Here is a 22,914-nt window from a genome sequence, read left to right on the forward strand (position 1 = left end):
TAGTCGGGGGCCTCTGTCAGACTCCCTTCATGTTTAAGAACAGTTGATTTTCCAAAAACATGTCTGTCTTGTGCTTTATTCACTCAGGACTGTGTTCTTGGCTATTTCCATTGATGAAATTATTTCTATAAAGACACTATCTGACTGACAGGGACTGAGCGGACTCCTTCACCACAATATCTTAATTTTAGTTTAATGGTGTCCACAGATGGTATAACTTAAAGGTTTACCAATTGTGGAAATTTTCATACCATATTGAAGTTAAGATCATTGTGGAGGGGAGAATAATATTTTTCAAAACTTAAATTATTTATAAAGGAATTTTGATGAAATTCACAATTCAGGTCCAATGCTACTATGGAAAAGTTCACTGAGACAGTTTGCAGCGATTTGGAAGCATGGCACATTGGTAGGGCGGTGTGCTTGCCATCATCCTCTCCACCCCCATTCCACTCCAGTTGATACCACCTTCAAATAGCAACAAAACTTCAAATTCACTTGCTTTCAAGGAATCAATATTTCCTCTTTCCATTGGATGGAGAGGTATAAACTCAGCCTAAAATTATAATCCCTTTAGTCCCGGTGCTAGAGATGTTGTCAACATTGGTTGCAGATTCATGCTGTCCTAAATTTTTAGCAGCTCAGGAATTTCTCCAGTCTTTTGTTTGTAAACCATTTTCTCTTCTGAAGGCTTCTAGAATTTTTTCTTAACTTCAATATTTTTTCTCAAATATATTTTCCTTAGTGTTTCTACTTAAAGGTCGATATCTTTCCAAATCATACTTTAATAAAATATAATAAACACAGGATTTTATATGCACCAGGAGTTCAGCAATTGCTTTTTTATATACAAAATATTTTTAAGTCTTGAATAACTATTTAATCTGACTACACATGATTGTTAGAGGAACTCTTCTCCTATTTTTTCATTTACATGTTAACACATACTAGTGTTTTAGAGTTTTTGGGTGCAAATTCCATTTCTAACATGTTGAATAATATTTAAATACTATCCACTAATAAATATGTTGTTTTTCACCACTGCAGGTGGAAGAGGCCCTGGAAGCTGTCAAAAATGCTACAAATGAGCAAGACCTTGCAAACCGTTTTAAAGAGTTTGGGAAAGAGATGGTGAAACTTAACTATGTAGCAGCAAGAAGACAACAGGTGGGAAAGATTTTAGAAATGCTAGGGGAGAAAATGGGTGAGTTTAAATAACCCTGTAGCTTTTTAGGCCTGAACAATGGATCAACTGCATCTGCTTGCTATCAAATGCCCTAAGAACCTGTGATGACAAAGGTTGCTTCCTGCAGGGGCCAGTTGTGATGCCTTGGTGGGCTCTGGACCACTCTCTGGCCCCCACCTATAAGCAGGCCACAGATTATTTGCTTCACTGGTGGACCCACCCTGCTAGCCCTACCACACTCTGATCTTCTATCCACTGTAGGAACACAGCTCTGATGTCAAATAAAAAATATTAAACTGTGGGGTAGTGCTGTGGTCAGTCTCTGGATGTCACCCTTTGCCCTCACTTTTTGTCTCCTAGTCTTGTGAACACCACCACACATATACACTCCCAGGATATGTAGTATGTGGGGTGAAATTTTTCTGAAAGAGAAGAAGAAAACATGAACAAAATGAGAGGAAATGCAGGGGTGGGGGAACGGAGAAAGGGAGAGAGAACAGGGGGAAAAGGGGAGGGGAGTGGGGAAGGGGAGGAAGGGAAAAAGGGGTGAGAAGAGTGCAGGTGAGCGTGAGTCACTCTCATGATGCTGTGTGACCTGGGATCTCCTCAGCCTCAGTATTAGTTTGTTCTCATGCTGTTATAAAGAACTGCCCTGAGACTGGGTAATTTCTAAAGAAAGGAGATTTAACTGACTCACAGTTCCACATGGGTGGGGAGGCCTCAGGAAACTTACAATCATGGTGGAAGGGGAAGTAGGCGCCTTCTTCACAAGGTGGCAGGAGAGAGTGAGCAAGAGCAGGGAAAACTGCCTTATAAAACCATCAGACCCCCGTGGGAACTCACTCACTATCACGAGAACAGCATGGAGGAACCACCCCTATGATCCAGTCACCTCCCTTCCTCGACACATGGGGATTATAGGTCCCTCCCTCCACATGTGGGGTTTACAATTCAAGATGAGATTTGGGTGGGGACACAGAGCCAAACCATATCAGCCTCCTTTTTGTCTAGGGATTTCTCAGTTTCAGCTAACTCTGTTTGCTCACTGGATACCTTTAGTATTTTGTTCCCATCGAGTGGGTTTTTATTCTTTCGCCATAGAAAAAATATTTCCAAATGTGGAAGGATCTCCTAAAATCCTTTCACCCATCCTTTTGACTGCTTCCAGAATTTTTTAAAACATTTTGGGCCATTCGTAGTTTCTCTAACTTTCTCTCTGACCAACAGGAAAGTTCCACTCAACAAACATTTATTGAATGTTCATTCTGTGCCAGGCTTAAGTGAGGCTGGGATTAGGAACTTAACCAAGAGCCAGTCCTCAGTGAGACAGGCACATAAATGTGATTTTAGTTTATGTGGTTATTTTTAAGTATGTTTTTATCAGCAGAATTCCTTGTTGAAAGGGAATCTTGTATGGTAGCCCAATGTGTAATATAAACAGGAACAAAGTTACTCTGAATAGTGAGAGAGAGATAGAGAGCCCCAGGAGGCTACTGGTGCAGGCCCCAGAGTCTAGAAGCCTAGGAATCTGGTGTTCTGATGTCCAAAGGCAGGAGGAGAAGGGCATTCTGCTCTGGAAGGGAGAGAGAGAATGAATTCACCCTTCCTCCACCTTTTTGTTCTGTCGTTGCCCCCAGCCGACTGGATGGTACCCACCTACACTGAGGGTGAAGCTTCTCCACTTAATTCACTGGCTCACATGCCAGTCACCTCCTAAAACACTCTCACAGTGACACATTCAAAATAATGCTTCATCAGCCTTCTAGATACCCCTCAATCCAGTCAAGTTGACACCTAAAATAACCAACACAGATGTGCCGATTTTGAGATATCCACATTGAAACATCAAATAGAAGAGAAGTGTTGCCTGGAGATGGAAACATGGGCCATCAGCATGTAGCTGACATTAAAAGCCACGAGAATATATATGATGTTCATATGAAAATGCCTACATTATTTATTTTTACTTCATTAATACTTTGTTTTTAATTGATTGTTAGTTCAGACTCTTTCAAGAAAATTTAGAAAAACAGTAGAACAGAAGGAAAGGGGAAAAACACATAATACCCTACCACCCACAAAGAATATGGTGCTGATATTTTGGTATATTTTCTTTCAGATATTTATCTTCACATATTAATGCATTTAAAATCATACTATGCATACAAATATGCGTATTGTGTTCTGCTTTTTAATTTATCTTATAAATATTATTCATGTTATTAATTTTTGGAAAACTAATTTTAATTATCACATACTCCAATATGAATGTTTCAGTAGTTTTTTTTCAACCAATTCTTGGTAATTCAATATTTAGATTGTTTCCAGTTTTCTTCTTATGATTAAAACATGTTTCTTCAAGTGTTTTATGGAGAGATTTTCACAACCCGCATTTCTCACTTCTGTATTTAGATCTATTTTACCATTTTATTATTTTTTTTAGTATAGATACCCAGGAATGGAATTTCTGGACCAGATGTTCTGACATTAATAAAGGTTTTCATGACTGTTTGGGAGAAACCTACCTCTCGTGCCCAAATCATTGCCCAGTAGAGAATACATTCAAATATTTGTTACCTGTTTATCCATTTTCATCTCTGGGGCTCAAATTAGATAATCCCAATTTAGAAATTGTGTTACCTAGCATCCATCTTTTAATGCTTAAGCAAAGGGGGAAAAAGATGGTTCAGTAAATTGTTCATTATTTATTACCAATTTTCGTGACAATCTTAGATATCAAATATAATGTGTTTGTCTCAGAATTGTTTTGACCAACAAAACAGAAGATGTGATTTCTTGTTACCAGGTCATTCATCTATCATGTGCCAAATGAGCAAATAGGAAGAGAAGCCCAGTGGTTCAAATACGCTTTACTGATGTTTTCCAGCTGGAAGAATATTCTCCCAGAGATAACACAGCTGGCAATCCTGCATGGCTCTCAAAGAGCAACACTGCTTTAACATTTCTGAAAATCATTTGAACATTTTCTTAACAACAGCCTTTAAAGATGGAAATAAAGAGACTCCCTAGTGGTATTATTTTGTCATCCAAAACTAGGAAAACAAATCATCTTTGGCCTGTTATTTTCTGTTCTCTAAACTTAATGATGAGCTGCCATTAGAGGCTGTCAACAACAACAAAGCAGGAACCCTATTCTGAAAATGATAATTAAGGGACACTGATGTGTTGAGCAAAAATCAGAAGTTTGGTTTCCCATTTGTAACAGTAATTGAATATGGAGGCAAGTAGGGCCTCAGAAGACTGACGTTTTCAGGTTTTCTGTCTGTTCATAACTAACTGTATGGCCCATGCAATCAATTTACCTTCTTGGTGGCTTGGTTTTTATATTATCTCAGCAATATTTTATTGAATGCCTCTTATAGGCCAGCCACTTTGCTAATGACTAAAGAGCCACTGAATAAGAAAACTAGGGCTCCCTGCTGTCATTAGAGGTACGTTATAGAAGAGAAATATATGCTCAAAAAATACAGTAAAGTAGGAAGTGTTAGTGATAGGAGAGGAAGAGTGTCTTGTGGGAACAGATGAAAGGGGACACAGCTTAGAAAGTTGGGTGGAGGATGTGCCAAGTCAGTGGAGCCCTGTCAGGTGAAAGGGTAGGGCAGAGGAGGAAAGCTCAGGCATTTCACATAGAAGGGACAGTAGGCCAGGTGTGGTTGCTCATGGCTGTCATTCCAGCACTTTGGGAAGCAGAGGTGGGAGAATCCCTTGAGGCCAGGAGTTCAAGGCCCACCTGGGCAACATAGCCAGACCCCACTTCCACAACTTTTTTTTTTTTAACTAGCCTGGTGTGGAAGCATGCACCTGTAGTTCTAGCCACTTAAGAGGTTGAAGAGGGAGGATCACTTGGGCCCAGGAGATGGAGGCTGCAGTGAGCTTTGATAACACCACTGTACTCCAACCTAGGTCACTATAGAGACCTAGCTGTCTCTATAAAACAGACAAACAAACAAAAGAGTATATGCAAAGGCCTGGCAGCTAGAAACAGCACAAGGGTTTCTGAAGTTCAGTGTGTTACTAAGAGTCTGTGACTCCAAACTGTGTTGCAAATATTTCTATGCAAATTTCATGTGTGTGACAGCTTTCATGTGTTACACACACAGGAGCTGAAGGATCCTCACTGTCGGGATGAGATGGCAGCCGCCCGAGGGGCTCTGAAGAAGAATGCCACAATGCTGTACACGGCCTCTCAAGCATTTCTCCGCCACCCAGATGTCGCCGCTACGAGAGCCAACCGAGATTATGTGTTCAAACAAGTCCAGGAGGCCATCGCCGGCATCTCCAATGCTGCTCAAGCTACCTCGCCCACTGACGAAGCCAAGGGCCACACGGGCATCGGCGAGCTGGCTGCGGCTCTTAATGAGTTTGACGTAAGCATCCTGGTGAGGTACACAGAGGGGTGGGCACTGGTGTTGACAAAAAAAAAAAATGTATTGAGGATGAAGGGCCACTACAATAATTTACATTGATTTTTCTCTTTTGGAGGTTTTAATAGTAAGATAAACTACATAATGCATTTCTGTAATATATTGGCTAAGCCATTATCACTTGTCTTTAAAGAAACAACTGTGGCTGCGGTGGCTCACCCCTGTAATCCCAGAACTTTGGGAGGCCGAGGTGGGTGGATCACCTGAGGTCATGAGTTCGAACATGGAGAAACCCCGTCTCTACTAAAAATGTAAAACATTAGCTGGGCGTGGTGGCGCATGCCTGTAATCCCAGCTACTCGGGAGGCTGCGGCAGGAGAATCGCTTAAACTCGGGAGGCGGAGATTGCGGTGAGCCGAGATCGTGCCATTGCACTCCAGCCTGGGCAACAACAGCAAAACTCCGTCTCGGGGAAAAAAGAAGAAACAACTGTATTTAAGAGTGCCCAATCCCTTCCAGGTAGATGAGATAACTTACAGGCTATTTTAGGGACAGTTCATAATTTGACGATCATCTTTATTATTAAAGGGGCACATGTTATGGGCAGCCTAGATGTACGTTGCCTCTATGTTGTGCCTGCGTGAAAAGCTGCCATCAATTTCTTTGTTTTAAATCAGTGATAAAGTACATTGCCCTATGATCCCACACAGGACCCTGGTCTTCATTAGAACAGACCCTCTGGGGAGAGCCTGTGTTAGTTCTCTGAAAGTCCTACATTCTACACTGGCTGTTTCTGTAGGTGTGTCCTGGTGAGGGAAGAAGCAAGGAGGATTGTTCACTGTGCTGAGCCATATGTGAAGCATCAGTGTGAGTGAGAAGGTTGCACGCATGTCATCAGCACCCCGGGATGACAGCCCCCATTCCCCCCGGGTCAGAGGACCTGTGAGAAGTTGGAATTTATTTATCTTATGATCAATGAAAGCCTACAAAGATTTATAAATAATTAGCATCTACTTTCCAGGGTTAAATAACCCTGCAGGGGAGATGAGGGAAGTAGAATGCACTAAACACCATTTAATTGATAAAACACAATGTTACAGGAATTCATAGAAGAAAAATAGGTTACTTAATGGTCATGAAGAAAGATGATGAGCTTGCTTTTGAATATGTTGATGTGAATTTTTGGCAAGAAATAACTAGTTAGCAGCTGGAAAAAAAGGTCCAGGAGCAAAGCAATGATTGTTCAAGGCTTGGAGATGGATGATATAACTGAGGAATAATTTTAACAGTTCATACTCAAATAGTTCTTACCATTTTCATAGTGGTCTCTCCTCTTTCCCATATTTTTACAGTTAGTTATATGTATCTCACACCATATATTATTTCCTAAGGTTTTTTTTGTGAGGATTAAATATGATAATATATTTAAAGCACTTGCTACAGAAATGAAGACTTAATAATAGGTAATTTTATTCACAAAATTGCAGCGAGCAACTGAAAATTCATAGAAAATAATGAGAGTTCAAAATAATGTTTACTTTATATAACATAAATATACAAAAATCTCTAGATTTTCATCATGTAAAATAAAGTAGAATAACGAGGAGATATTCACAAAACAAATAATTTTTAAAAAGTTAATTTTATTTTATTATTTCTTATATCTGCTAGAAATAAGTCTAATATAGATGTGAAGGACCTAAAAAGTCAAATTATATTACTTTATTGAGGGACAAGTTTTACTTGTCAGTAAATGATATCATGATCTTGAGTAGGAGAACTATTGATCCTATCAGTTTTCATAATGTTGAAGCAATCTCAATACAAATTCTAAGAGGATTCTTTTGGAACTTGACAGAGGAGTGATAAAGGATTTTTGTTTGTTTGTCTTTTTTTATATTCTAGAATAAAGAATGAATGAGCCCATATTTCAGGGAAAAGTAAATGAGCAGGTCATACACACAGATATTAAAACATTGTAATGCTACATTAATTTTAAAGGTGTGTATTGAAACACAAATGGACTCATCCATGAAAGAATAAAAATCATAGGCAATCTCAAATACAAAATTATTTTATAAATTGGTGTTTATTAAAATTAGTTAAGAATGGATTATTTAGTCAGATTTTGACACAATTACATTATTCTAGTTATAATTTATTTTATAATCAAAAATAAACAACAAAACCTAAGTGAGGAGCTGGTTAAGAGTGAAAATATGAAGCACAGAGAGAAGGCCTGTGAACAGTCCAGGAACTTCAGCTGCTGCCACCTTCTGTCCAAGAGTGTGACAACTGCTGCTTCCCCATGCTGCCTTTTGTTTCCAGACGATTTTCATTAAAAGCACCTTTTATCCCCAATTAATGTAACAACCGATGCGTCAGTGCAACAGTGCAAAAGGCTTTCATTCATAAAAATCAAACTTGAGGTCATGTGGGGAAAATCTATTAGCAAAGTATGTCAACATGTTGAATGTTCAAGGTTTTTTTTTTGTTGTTGTTGTTTTTCCTGAAGTGATATCTCCTCATGCTGGACAAATAAGGCTTTGGAAATTTAACACATGAATATAACCATCAAACATGTTTTTTATAAAACATGATATATTTGAAACAGTTGGAAAAATTAAAATATAAAGTATAATATGGTAAATAAGTCACTAACTATATTTTATTAACTTTAAACTTCTATATTAACTAATTATATTACTTATAATATTAACTCAGTATATTATATATGAATGAAAAAATTATATTTTATATTAGCTAAGTATATTAATGAGGTAATATATTCTTATTAAATGTATACTGTTTCTCAAGCTATGAGAATTACATAAAGCGTTATCTAATGGTCAACATTTTACTTCTTGGAGGTCAACAAAAATCAAAATGTGGAGGCTGTCTGAATTGCAGTTTTGAAACAATAATTCCATTTGATGTGGTTCCCTAACAATTGTCATTTAACAAATGCAATTTAATTTCAGCACTTTCTCAAAAGTAGTAATGCTAGTAAATTAGTATTGAATTTACAGACTGTAATGTGATTCACCTGCTGTAGATTTTCCATCACTTCTGACATCAGCAAACCTAGACAGTAGTTAATGATACTTGAAATTTTCTCATTAAAATAATATACCGTTTCTCTTTATTTTATGACTAAATTATAAATTTCTGTTCCATAGTTGTATGATGAATACTGTTTTTTTAAAAATTTCTTAGGCATGCTAACTTGAAATTGATTTTGAATTCATGGACATCTGTCATGAGTCCTAAATGCTATTCTCAGATATTAAACAAATTGATATTTCATTGGGTGAAAAACTCACTCAAACTTCCTGTGGTTTACTTTTCTGGCAAAATCTCTTACTGATACTTGGTATAATACCTTTCTCATATAGTGAAAATTTAAATAAGTTTAACGTCTTTGAAATGCTGAAGTAAAAGGAACCATAAAAATGCAAAATATATTTTCATAGACAGCACAGCTAGTTTGCCCTAAAATTTATTTTTTAAAAATTTTACTTTAAGTTCCAGGATACACGTGCAAAATGTGCAGGTTTGTTATCTAGGTTTACATGTGCCATGGTGATTTGCTGCACCTATTGACCCATCCACTAAGTTCCCTTCCCTTGCCCCCACCCCGCAACAGTCCCTGGTGTGTGTTGTTCCCCTCCCTGTGTCCATGTGTTCTCATTGTTCAACTCCCACTTAGGAATGAGAACATGTGGTGTTTGGTGTTCTGTTCCTGTGTTAGTTTGCTGAGGATGATGGCTTCCAGCTTCATCCACGTCCCTGCAAAGGACATGATATTATTCCTTCTTATGGCTGCATAGTATTCCATGGTGTATATGTAGCACATTTTCTTTATCCAGTCTATCATTGGTGGGCATTTGGGTTGGTTCCATAACTTTGCCATTGTAAATAGTGCTGCAGTAAACATACATGTGGATGTGGCTTTACGGTAGAAAGACTTATATTCCTTTGTGTATATACCCAATAATGGGATTGCTGGGTCTAATGGTATTTCTGGTTCTAGATCTGTAAGGAATTGCCATACTGTCTTCCACAATAGCTGAACTAATTTACATTCCCACCAACAGTGTAAAAGCGTACCTGTTTCTCCACAGCCTTGCTAGCACCAATTGCATCTATAGCATCTATCTATTCTTGACTTTTTAATAATTGCCATTCTGACTGGCCTGAGATGGTATCTCATTGTGGTTTTGATTTGCATTTGTCTAATGATGAGTGATGTTGAGCTTTTTTTCATGTTTGTTGGCCATGTAAACATCTTCTTTTGAGAAGTGTCTGTTCATATCCTTTCTCCACTTTTGGATGGGGTTGTTTGTTTTTGTAAATTTAAGTTCCTTGTAAATTCTGAATATTAGACTTTTGTCAGATGAGTCGATTGTAAAAATTTTCTCCCATTCCGTAGATTGCCTGTTCACTCTGATGATTCTTTTGCTGTGCAGAAGCTCTTTAGTTTGGTTAGATACCATTTGTCAATTTTGGCTTTTGTTGCAATTGCTTTTGGTGTTTTCATCATGAAGTCTTTGCCCATGCCTATTTCCTGAATGGTATTGCCTAGGTTTTCTTCTAGGGTTTTTATGGTTTTGGGTTTTACATTTAAGTCTTTAATACATCTTGAGTTAGTTTTTGCATAAGGTGTAAGGAAGGGGTCCAGTTTTAGTTTTCTGCCTATGACTAGCCAGTTTTCCAGCACTATTTATTTAATAGGAGATTATTTCCCCATTGCTTGTTTTTGTCAGATTTGTCAAAGATCAGATGGTTGTAGATGTGTGGTGTTATTTCTGAGGTCTCTCTTCTGTTCCGTTGGTCTGTCTGTTTTGGGACCAGTACCATGCTGTTTTGGTTACTGTAGCCTTGTAGTTTAGTTTGAAGTCAGGTAGCATGATGCCTCTAGCTTTGTTCTTTTTGCTTAGGATTGTCTTGGCTATACGGGGTCTTCTTTAATTCCATATGAAATTTAAAGTAGTTTCTTTTTCTAATTCTGTGAAGAATGTCAATGGTAGTTTGATGGAAGTAGCATTTATTCTATAAATTACTCTGGGCAGTATGGCCATTTTCACAATGCTGATTCTTCCTATCCATGAGGTTGGAATGTTTTTCCATTTTTTTGTGTCCTCTCTTAATTCCTTGAGCAGTGGTTTGTAGTTCTCCTTGAAGAGGTCCTTCACATCCTTGTTAGCTGTATTCCTAGGTATTTTATTATCTTTGTAGCTATTGTGAATGGGAGTTCATTCATGATTTGGCTCTCTGCTTGTCTGTTATTGATGTAAAGGAATGCTTGTGATTTTTGCACATTGATTTTGTATCCTGAGACTTTGCTGAAGTTGCTTATCAGTTTAGGGAGTTTCTGGGCTGACATGATGGGGTTTTCTTGATATACAATCATGTTGTCTGCAAACAGAGAAAATTTGACTTCCTATCTTCCTATTTGAATATGCTTTATTTCTTTATCTTACCTGATTGCCCTGTCCAGAATTTCTAATACTATATTGAACAGGAGTGGTGAGAGAGGGCAGTTTTGTTATGTATTGGTTTCCAAAGGGAATGCTTCTTGCTTTTGCCCATTCAATATGATATTGGTTGTGGGTTTGTCATGAATAACTCTTGTTATTTTGAGGTATGTTCCATCAATACTTAGTTTATTGAGAGTTTTTAATGTGAAGCGATGTTGAATTTTATCAAAGGCCTTTTCTGCATCTATTGAGATAATCATGTGGTTTTGTCTTTGGTTCTGTTTATGTGATGGATTACTTTTCTTGATTTGCCTATGTTGAACCAGCTTTGCATCCCAGGGATGAAGCTGACTTGGTCATGGAGGGTAAGTTTTTTATGTGCTGCTGGATTTGGTTGGTCAGTATTTGATTGAGGATTTTTGCTTTGATGTTCCTTATGGATATTGGCATGAAGTTTTCCTTTTTTATTGCATCTCTTCTCAGTTTCAGTATCAAGATGATGCGGGCTCCATAAAATGAGTTAGGGAGGAGTCCTTCCTTTTCAGTTGTTTGGAATAGTTACAAAAGGAAGGGTACCATCTTCTCTTTGTACCTCTGGTAGAATTCACCTGTGAATCCATCTGGTCCTGGGCTTTTTTTGGTTGGTAGGCTATTAATTACTGCCTCAAATTCAGAACTTGTTATTGGTCTATTCCATAACTTTACTTCTTCCTGGTTTAGTCTTGGGAGACTGTATGTGTCCAGGAATTTATCCATTTCTTCTAGATTTTCTAGTTGATTTGCATAGAGGTGTTTATAGTATTTTCTGATGGTAGTTTGTATTTCTGTGGGGTCAATGGTGATATCTCCTTTATAATTTTTTATTGTGCCTATTTGATTCTTCTCTCTTTTCTTCTTTATTGGTCTAGTTAGTGGTTTATCTATTATGTTATTTTTTTCAAAAAATTAGCTCCTGGATTCATTGATTTTTTTGGAGGGTTTTTTGTGTCTCTGTCTCCTTCAATTCTGCTCTGATCTTAGTTATTTCTTATATTCTGCTAGCTATTGGATTAGTTTGCTCTTGCCTCTCTAGCTCTTTTAATTGTGATGTTAGTGTGTCGACTTGAGATCTTTCTAGCTCTCTGATGTGGGCATTTAGTGCTATAAATTTCCTCTTAACACTGCTTTAACTGTGTCCCAGAGATTTTGGTATGTTATCTCTGCTCTTTGGTTTCAAAGAACATCTTGATTTCTGCCTTAATTTCATTATTTACCCAGGAGTCACTCAGGAGTAGGTTGTTCAATTTCCATGTGATTGCATGGTTTTGAGTGAGTTTCTTCATCCTAAGTTCTCATTTGATTGCACTGTGGTCTGAGAGACTGTTATGGTTTCAGTTCTTTTGCATTTGCCAAGGAGTGTTTTACTTCCAATTATGTGGTCAATTTTATAATAAGTGCCATGTGGCACTGAGAAGAATGTATATTCTGTTCATTTGGGGTGCAGAGTTCTGTAGATGTCTATTAGGTACACTTGATCCAGAGCTGAGTTCAGTCCTGAATATCTTTGTTAATTTTCTGTCTTGTTGATCTCTCTAATATTGACAGTGGGGTGTTAAAGTCTCTCACTATTATTGTGTGTAGAGACCTATTAGTTTCTTTGTAGGTCTCTAAGAACTTGTTTTATGAATCCGGTGCTCTTGTATTGGGTGCATATATATTTAGAATAGTTAGCTTTTCTTGTTGAATTGTACCCTTCACCATTATGTAATGCCCTTGTCATTTTTGATCTTGTAGGTTTAAAGTCTGTTTTGTCAAAGACTAGGTTTGCAACCCCTGCTTTTTTTGCTTTCCATTTGCTTGGTAAGTTTTCCACCATTCCTTTATTTTGAGCCTATGTGTGTCTTTGCATGCGAGATGGGTCTCCTGAATACAGCACACTGATGGGTCTTGACTCTTCATTCAATTTGCCAGTCTGTGTCTTTTAATTGGGCCATTTAGCCCATTTAAATTTAAACTTAGTATTGTTATGTGTGAATCTGATCCTGTCATCATGATGGTATTTGGTTCTTTTGCACACTAGATGATACAGTTTCTTCATAGAGTCGTTGGCCTTTATATTTTGGTGTGTTTTTGCAGTGGCTGGTACTGGGTTTCCTTTCCATGTTTAGTGCCCCTTTCAGGAGCTTTTGCAAGGCAGGCCTGTTGGTAACAAAATCTCTCAGCATTTGCTTGTCTGTAAAGGATTTTATTTCTCCTTTGCTTATGAAGCTTAGTTTGGCTGGATATTAAATTCTGGGTTGAAAATTCTTTTCTTTAAGAATGTTAAATTTTAGACCCCAAGCTCTTCTGGCTTGTAGAGTTTCTGCTGAGGAGTCTGCTGTTAGTCTGATGGACTTCCCTTTGTAGGTGACCTGGCCTTTCTCTCTGGCTGCCCTTAACATTTTTTCCTTCATTTTGACCTTGGAGAATCTGATGATTATGTATCTTGGGGTTGATTTTCTCATGGAGTATCTTAGTGATGTTTTCTAACACCACAGACACTGTGGCCACCCCTCCCCCTAGGGGCTCAGGCCCAGAGAGATCCATTTTCTGTCCCTGAGTCTCTGGCTGGAGTTATTAGAGTTGCTGCAGGGAAGCCCCACCCAATGAGGATGGATGGGTCAGGCTCAGGCCTGAAGAGGCACTCTGGCAGCAGTCTGCCACAGCCGGTGTGTTGGGCTATGGGGAACAAGTCTTGGGACCAAGCTGTCCAGCCTCCCTGGCTCCAGCAGGGGAAAAGCATGGCCTGGAGCTATAGAAATGGATGTCACCCTTACCCCTCCCAGGAAGCTTAGTGTGTTAGGCAGTTGTACCTCCCAGGGCTGGCTGCTGCCCCTCCGCCAAGGAGCATAAATGGCTTAGACAGCAGGCAGCCACAGCTGTGGTGCTGGTCACTACTCCCCCTGGGAGCTTGGCAGGCTTAAGCAGGTTCCAGCTGAGATGCTGCTGAGAATCTGCGTAGCTCTGGGGTTGGGATGCTAGGTGCCTGTAGCATGGGTTTGCAAGTGGCGTCTTCCGATCCGTGGGTTGCACATTTCCATGAAAAAAGCAGTTTTGCCGGCTGTGTTGCATGCTCACTCACTGCCTTCCTTGGCTGGGGGTGGGGGCTCCCATGCCCCATGTGGCTCTGAGGTGGGCCGCACCACCCTGCTCTTCCTCTCCGTGGATCACGCCAGCCACCTAGTCAGTTCTGATGAGAGAACCTGATACTTTGGTTGCGGTGAAGGATTCATACGCTTATTAGGTTTCTTTTCAATGGGAGCCTCCGATCGCCTCTGTTTCTAGTTGGCCATCTTGGTCCTGCCCTCCCAAAATTGAATTTGAAACACACTTCATATTAATAGTCACGAGTGTGTCAAACCCAGTTTTATGGGAGGCTGGATGCAGAAGTGTCTTAACATTTTATAGTTGATGAGAACAAGATAAAAATAGTATTTTCACATTTATTTGTCTAAAATTACAGGATTGATTTCTATCTGAGTAGTTATAATTGTGGCTAAATGCTTGGTGACCTATTTTCTGGCATCTACATGAATAGTTGATGTAGTGATTTATGAAGCAAAAGAATGAGGAAAAAAGCAGTATTTTAACAACTTGCAACTGTCAAGAGAGTTTCCAATGATATAACAGTAAAAAGTAAAATAATTGATAATCAATGGAAAACTCAGCCTCTGTTTAGATGTGGCAGCTTGAGATGGTCAATTTTAATCTAGTAAAACTATCTACAAAGGAATATTCAAAAGATTTAAGAAAAATATAGTGACTGCTCAGAAGTAAAACATAATGTCGATTTTGACTGCCAGAAAACAAACTTTCAATAGTGGGAGAGAGGAATGTTAAAAGCAATTCCTACAGAATTTTCTTATTTTATTAAAGAAAAGAGAGTATACCATATCTTGTTTTTGGAATCTTGTTTTGTAGATGAAGATACTTTCAAAAAATTTCAACTGACACTGTTCATGAAGCTCCTTTCCAATATCTTTGAGATGCTTCAACATCTCAAAGATGTTAAATTATTTAAATTGTCATTACATTAGAAAGGTATTACACCAAGAATCAGTAATAAATTTTGCCAGAAAATAAGCCACAGGAAGTTTGAGTAAGTTTTTCACCCAATAAAATATCAATTTGTTTAATATCTGAGAATAACATTTAGTACTCAGGACAGATGTATATTACAAGCTATTGCTGTAACAAATTAAAAGTGACACCATTTGCAAAGGTACATTATAATCTTTAGCTATTCACCTTTTAAAAATGTTGTTTTCTTTTAAGTCAGACAGTACACATTATCTTGACTTCTTCTAACATTTAGCTTTCTATTTGTGATTTGCTTTCTTTCTCCCAACTTGCCCTGGGAATTTGTTTGACTAGTAATTCTCTTGTTCTTGCTCCTTCAGTTTCTCCTCCACTTGTTCCATCTCCTCAACCTACAGAAAATGTATTCCAATTCTAACAACCTAAAAAGAAAATAAAGCATTGGGCTGCTAAAATTACCATATTGCCATATTTTCGTTATCTTTTCTTTTCCTGACAATCCACAATCCTCTATGCTAACCTCGGTTCCTCCCTGCTCCTCAGGCACTCTACCTGAGTGTCTCCAGAGACTGTCACTCACTCACAAAATTGATAGGCTTTTATTTTCTACTTTTCGAATACTTCAGCTTTGGAAGGGAGCACATTATTATACTGACCATGCCTCCTCTTTCTTTCTATTACCACTAATATCTCTTGTAAGATTTAAATATCTGCACTTGAGGAATAAGACATTCTATTCTCAACCACATTAAGCTGAAATGTTACCCTGGTATAGCAACTCTACATAAGTTCCCCGTCCTATTTTTACCTAATTTTCCCTACCTGCCTTTACCTTCTTACATTTTCTTCCCTTTTTCATCATCTCTTTAAATATGCTTTTTTTTTTTTTTCTGTTCTTGGTCAAATTGTAATTCTCTTTCCGATCTGGTATTCAGTGGATGGAAATATTGGAATGTTAACATGAGCAGTGATGCGACATCTGCATCTCAGACTGGTGCACGGAAAAATAATCCCTGGCTGGCAAGAATTGTATGTAGGCTAACTGTGAGGATAAAATAATTGTCTACTGGGGGAGCACGGGCCATGCTTCTGTGGTCACTGCCCAAAGCTTATCCCAGTTGTAGGCTTCTCTGGGTGCACACAGATATTCAAGGAGCTCCAGGCCAAAGAATGAAGTTCAGCCGTAGTAGTTCACATGGCAGCAGTCATTTCAGGTTCCCAGCCCATTTAAGGGACATTAAGAGGTTGCAGGACCTTTGAGGGGATTCACAACCCAAGATTAGTATTTGGAGATCCAGGGTTGGAGTGCATTTTCAGTGGAGAACGAAACGCTGTATAGGTAAGTCAGAGGCCCAAATATAAGACCTAGGAGATCTACACTGAAGGCTTCCGAATAAGTGAGGGTTTTTCTGTTGTGCCTCCATTTCAAATGCCACTTTTTTATGTTTTTTGAGTATTGTGATAATCAATTCTTATTGTTCCTAGAATCAGACAGATACTGCTGTGTAAGCTCTGGTCCCTTAAGGGGCCATGGCCCAGAGTTCTGACTGGCTCATGGATTCTTAATATGCTTTATTGACTTATGATTTCTTCAACATCAGGGAAGGATAAGTGTCTCCTGGGAAAATAAAATTTTCACCAAGGATCTTGTTCTGTCCCTTCTCAATTCTAGTATTTCCTTTTGCTGTAGCAACCAATATACTTATTTATCAGGGAAACTTGCCCCAGGCCTTATCTACTTCGATATTTTATAAAGTCATTTGACTACAGACATCTAGCAACCCTCCATGTTAGGCTATGAAGATTGTAAGTTTCCTATATCTTACATTACATTAGAATGAAGGTGAAGAGTTGAGATGACAGGGCCCTTCTATTAATGCTCCATAATAATTATCTCTGCTATGTGTCTGAGAAGTGATTCCCACTGAATGGCCAATAGAAGTAACCAAGAACACTGGAAAGAGTCCAGGACTTGGATTCAGGTATTGGCTACTACTCCAAGCTCTACAAATAACTAAGTATGTGTAAGCATGGGCTACTAAGCCCATCTCTAGGCCTTGGATTTTATATCTCTTAGGATAAGGTTTAGCCACCAGATAGCTAAGATCATTCATTCAAAGTGTATATGTGCCAGATGAGATAGAACAATAAGGGAGTGTCATATGTAAAAGGAGAAAATACTTAGTAAACAGCTATAGACGCTGCAATGCATAAATGCTGCTGCATACGCTTACGTATATAGTATCCACTTAACCTATTATGTGTGCGTAAGGGGGTGGAATTGGGCAAGATGAAATTGTGGAATAATTCTTGGAAGAGGAGGTAAATGAGCTGCATCTAAAGGCTAAGAAAGAATAAACATGATGAAATGTGAATGAGAGTATTTCTCAGGTAGAAAGATCATCATTGCATGCAGTTGTATGGTGGGTAAAGCCTGCATAAAGTGATTATTTCTGGGGTACAGAGGATGGGGAAAAGTCAGTCTAAGTGGGCAAATAGGAGACCAATCCTGAAGAGCTATTCAGCCTTGCAAGTGGCTGGGCTTCATGCTGAAGGCCTTAGGAAGTTACTGGTGATCTAAAGAAGGAAATGGCAGCCAGGCGCGGTGGCTCACGCCTGTAATCCCAGCACTTTGGGAGGCCGAGGCGGGCGGATCACGAGGTCAGGAGATCAAGACCATCCTGGCTAACATGGTGAAAACCCGTCTCTACTAAAAATACAAAAAATTAGTTAGGCGTGGTGGCGGGCACCTGTAGTCCCAGCTACTCGGGAGGCTGAGGTAGGAGAATGGCATGAACCCGGGAGGCAGAGCTTGCAGTGAGCTGAGATCACGCCACTGCACTCCAGCCTGGGTGACAGAGCAAGACTCCATCTCAAAAAAAAAAAAAAAAAAAAAAAAAAGAAGGAAATGGCATGGTCAGACTTGTGGGGTTTTTGTTGTTGTCGTTGTTTTGTTTGTTTTTGTTTTTGAGACAGGGTCTCCCTCTGTCACCCAGGCTGGAGTGCAGTGGCATGATCTCAACTCACTGCAACCTCTGCCTCAAGTAATCTTCCCACCTCAGCCTCCCGAGTAGCTAGGACCACAGGCACACCACCACACCCAGCAAGTTTTGGTATTTTTAGTAGACACATGGTTTCGCCATGTTGTCCAGGCTGGTCTTGAACTCCTGAACTCAAGTGATCTGCCCAACTCAGCTTCCCAAAATGCTGGGATTACAGGCGTGAGCCACAGCTCCTGGCCCAGACTTGTGTTTTTGAAGATCCCTGTGGCTGCAGTGGCTGCCGGGGGGAGAATGAGTTTGAAGAAGCAAAGCTGCAGAGTAGGGAGACAGATAAGCGTGAGAAATTAGGAATGTCTGCAGTATATCAATAGAGTAGAATTAGGAAGAAGTGGGTGAATCTGAACCATACTGAGGAAGTAGAATCAACAGGTCATGAGAATTGTACTTTTTATTTCCATATATTGAAATAGTGTTTTGTATTGTCATGTAAGCTTTAGCTAATTAAAAAACCAAACATTTTCTAGGTCTAATTATGAAATCTTGAGAAATTTCAGTCATTTTTTGGAAAATTTGATGTTTTTACATAATATAACTTTCTTGCACTGATTTTTTTGGCTCTTAGTTCATTTCCGTTCCCATCAGTATGATTGTTAAATCCCTAGTCATTTATGCAGATATTATATATTTTGAATATTCTTAAACAAAATTCTACAAAGTCTAGGATTTTTCTAACTTAGGTTAATCTGTTTGTGCTTAATTGGGCTCCTACTATGTGCTTAGCATGCTCTTTTTACTTCTTAAAAAAGAAAAAAACAACTTTTTGATACTTTTTTGAAAAGTGGAGACAAACTTTTCCATCTTTAGGGCATAGTATCAGTAACTGATGCTTAGTGGGAACCAGAAATCCTCACCTGTTCATCGTATCTTCTCCCAGTGGAGTACCTTCCAAATTTATTTCTTCTTTTTCAATGGCAAATTAAACTCATCAAAACTGCCTTTTCAATTCTTTCTAACTGGAAACAAGCAGGAGCGTTCCAGCATTCTTTATCCTACACTGACATCTGGTGGCCAAACAAAGCATTAAGAAACACTCCTGTGGGTTCTTAGATCCCTGTAAACATACTACAATTTATATATGTAATACGGGCTCAAACCCAAGGGATGCAAATATGGACAGTGTGTAGTCATCCGTCAAAAAGTGTTTAGTCTACCTATGACAACCTTCTGAACACTAATGTTATGCAATGCAAGTCCAGCTAATTCTTAAAACCATCCCTACCTCTGGGATGGTGATAAAGATAGATGCAATACATGTGAGCTTATAGGAAGAGGAGTGCAAGGTAGGGTGGTGAGTCAAGGCTGGTTCTGCTGGGTGCTTGGGGACCAGGTTAGGCATCATCGTAGACAACATAGTCTTCACTGCTTCCTGAGCTATACCGCTTCACTTTCCAGAATCCATCTTTTCTGCCCAGAAATCTCTTTCCGGGTTATTGACACCTCTTGTATAGGTTATCGATACCTCTGATATTGCTTCTAAACAGCTTTTCTTTCCTAAGGTTTTATAAATCTAGGAGTATTTTCTGATAGAATCATTTACCTTTCAATTTTTTTACTTGCTTTAAGAAATATTCCAAAACAATTTACTTTTCTCTTGCGCATTTCAATCACTAAAGATCTCTAAAAATTGTTGAGCAAATAAAAGAATGAAATTTGAAGTACTTTTTTTTATAATTGCAATTTATATCTTGATTTTTTGGCCCCCTATCAGGTTTAATCAAAATTATTATATTTCCAATCTTGGGTTATTTCTTGAGGCAGCGAAAAATGTAAGAATCTGTTTTCTTCCTAGTGTGACTGATTTTTGCTTTTGAGAATATTGACAGATTCTTTAGGTCTGATTTCACCTTTATTTCAAGTTAGTACCAAATATAATAATGAATACTGATGTAATTGATTATGATATTCAAAATTGTCTAACATGTGATGGCAAGTATAATTTTGATTGTCACTTATCTATTAGTTATACTTTTTCAAATTTCGGACCCAAATAAGGCCACTTATCTAGTGAACTCTTTATTAGAGCAACATGTGGTTTATTTAAAATGTTTGATTTTTTAATCTTTAAATACATTTAATACTTTAGTCTTTCTGTGTGATTTCTTATGTTAGTACTGCTAATCTTTACTTCTCCCTCCAGGATTATGACTTCTCGTGTGCTTCCTATGTTACAGTGCTGGGAACGTGATAGGGAGTTACTTAAATGTTCTAAGATTTAGTTTGATTCAGTGGTGAAGTAAACCACACACAAACACACACACACACGTGCAACAACTGCACGTGAAGCATCCATTTGGATTTTTCAACCATACTGCTCAACGTATTTCCTGAACTTCTTTTCCAGCAGAATATTATGGAAACTTCACTATAACCTATTGAGTCCCATTCTTTATTTCCCCAAATGTTCTCTGATACTGTCTTTTTTTCTGATTGTATAAATTCATTGAGCTAAGGCTGTAGAAAAACAATTACTCATATGCACGTATGATTAGCAGGCACCCAACATAACTGAGAACATAAATAGTCGGTTGTGGTTTGACCTGGTTACATTGGCCATGCTAAACAATGGTGGGACAGCATCTCATAGGGCAGAGAACAGGCTTGTGTTTGAATCTTACCAAATAACTCTTCCCTCTGTGCCTCTGTTTCTTCATCTATAAAATGAGATAATAATGTTGACTCCAAGTTGGTGGTAGTTTTGTGGGATGAACATTTATATGTGTCTAATCTATAGTAGGCACTCATAAATACTAGTTTTCTTCTTCTCCTACCCATCTTAATAGACGTGTTGGCCAGACATCTTTCATCCAGATTCAGCTGTGAAGCTATTCCCTAGAAAAACCCTGGGAAAAAGCTCCTGACTGAAAAGTTGTTATGCCACTGGAGAGTAGCTATTGATATTATAATGTCATTTGCTCTCCCTTGCCTATAGCCAAACCCTAATGCATAACAGACTCCAAAGAAGGTCTGGCCAAAGCATAAAGCAGTCTTGAGAGGCTGGCCATTCTATGTGACAGGAGAAATTCCAAACAGATTAAATTACCTCTTGGTGTAAGAGTGATTCTTAACGTGAGACCTAACAAGTCCAGTGTGAATACTAAGAATGTAAGTTTCTCCATTGTGTCTATTTGGGAATTCTTATTGCTTAACCAGCTTCTGATGCTGTGAATGCCATTTTTAGTTTCACATTAAATATGAGATTTCTTCTGCTTTGTTGGTCTCTGAAGATTGCTCAGCGAGCACCTGGAATAAAGAGGAGCGAATGGCAGAAAGCGGGTAGGGATAAAGGGAGAAAAGATGACATAGACTGTGGTCCCTGATGAATCCAGGAACCACAGCCTGAAGCAGTTTATCGTATTTTAAACATGTTCTGTCCAAAAGATGCTGCCAAATAATCATGCAATCTAAGAATGTGCATGGTATGCAAATGCAGTTTGAAGACAGGTCCTGTCTCCCTCCCAACCAGATTGTCTCTTCCCCAAGTGTCCTGTGAAGGAGTTTGAAACTGACACTGCTTGTTTTCCAGGTTTAGTACTTTCCTCACTTTAGCAGATCCTATGAAAGGACCAGGAAAACATTATTTCTCCATCCATCTGTTTGAAAATCTCTTGCTGTTATCATCTACAACCTTAATCATGCTTCTTAAGCTTATTTGGGACACTGAGGTCTACACTGGTGATCGTCTGGATATTATTTTCTTTTCCTTTCTTCTCTTAGTTTTGGCATCTGTTTAAAAAGTTTTAAGATAATCTTTCACAAGTACACAGCATATAAAATATGTTGTCTCAGTTTGTTTGGGCTTCTGTAACAGAATACCTTAGACTGAGTCATTTATAAACAATGGTAATTTATTGCTCATGGTTTTGGAGGCCAGGGAGTTCAGGATAGGTGTTGACAGACTCAGTTTCTTGTGAGCGCTCACTCTGTGCTTCAAAGGTGATGCCTTCTTACTGTGTCATCACATGGTGGAAGGGGCAGGGAGCCCCTCAAGCCTCTTTTATAAGGGCACTAATCCCATTGATAAGGGTAGATCCCTCCAGATATAGTCACCCCACAAAGCCCACACCTCTTAATACTATCACTTTGGGTATTAAATTCCAACATATGAATTTTGAGGGCACACAGACATTCAGACCATAGGATATTTGGACATTTTTCTATATCAAAATAAAAAGCGCAGATCTTTACATTTTACAGCTTCATTTCTTCCAGGAGATGCCCATACATATTACTTGAGGGCCCAAATGAATTTATAGTTGGGAGGTTTTAACTACAGGGTTTCCTAAGATATTTTCTGTGCCTACCAAAACTGACCAGATTTGCATGGAAGTTAAGAATCGTGTTTTATTTTAAAGCAAGTACATGGCTAATCTTCTCAGGTGATGTATTTGAGAACTGAATCGCTGTGTAGAATTTTTGCTCTAATTAATTTGAATATATATTTCAAAGATTTTAAGATCCTACATTTTAACAACACAATCTTGTGTTTGGCACAAGTACTTAAGATAAAAAACATCACTGACCAAATACAAGTTTTCCATGGACATTTTTCTTTTACAAAGATCTGTCACAGATTTGAAGAAGATGACATTTGTAGAGATCTGATGGAGCGGTAGGTCTCTTAGGGAGGAGAAGATAACGCGGTTATCTGCCACCAACCCCCAGAGTGTGGCAGCCCTTTGGCCAGTGGATGCATGCTGTTTTTATTTTCAGATTCTCTCAAGTCTACATGTCAGAATCACTTTCAA

General features: G+C 38.6%; 1 protein-coding gene across 11 annotated transcripts in view; it reads left to right on the forward strand.

Moving 5' to 3' along the window:
• The window catches only part of CTNNA2 (catenin alpha 2), a 1,463,404-nt gene that overhangs the window by 683,392 nt on the left and 757,098 nt on the right, over positions 1-22,914 (forward strand). For all 11 annotated transcript variants that reach the window (NM_001399737.1, XM_024452714.2, XM_011532556.3 and 8 more), the window contains 2 exons: positions 1,048-1,167; positions 5,308-5,574. In NM_001399737.1, the coding sequence (NP_001386666.1) occupies positions 1,048-1,167; positions 5,308-5,574 (387 nt within the window). The remainder of the gene's footprint in view (positions 1-1,047; positions 1,168-5,307; positions 5,575-22,914) is intronic.

The sequence above is a fragment of the Homo sapiens genome, chromosome 2 (assembly GCF_000001405.40).
Source record: "Homo sapiens chromosome 2, GRCh38.p14 Primary Assembly".
In the NCBI taxonomy this organism is placed as follows: Eukaryota; Metazoa; Chordata; class Mammalia; order Primates; family Hominidae; genus Homo; species Homo sapiens.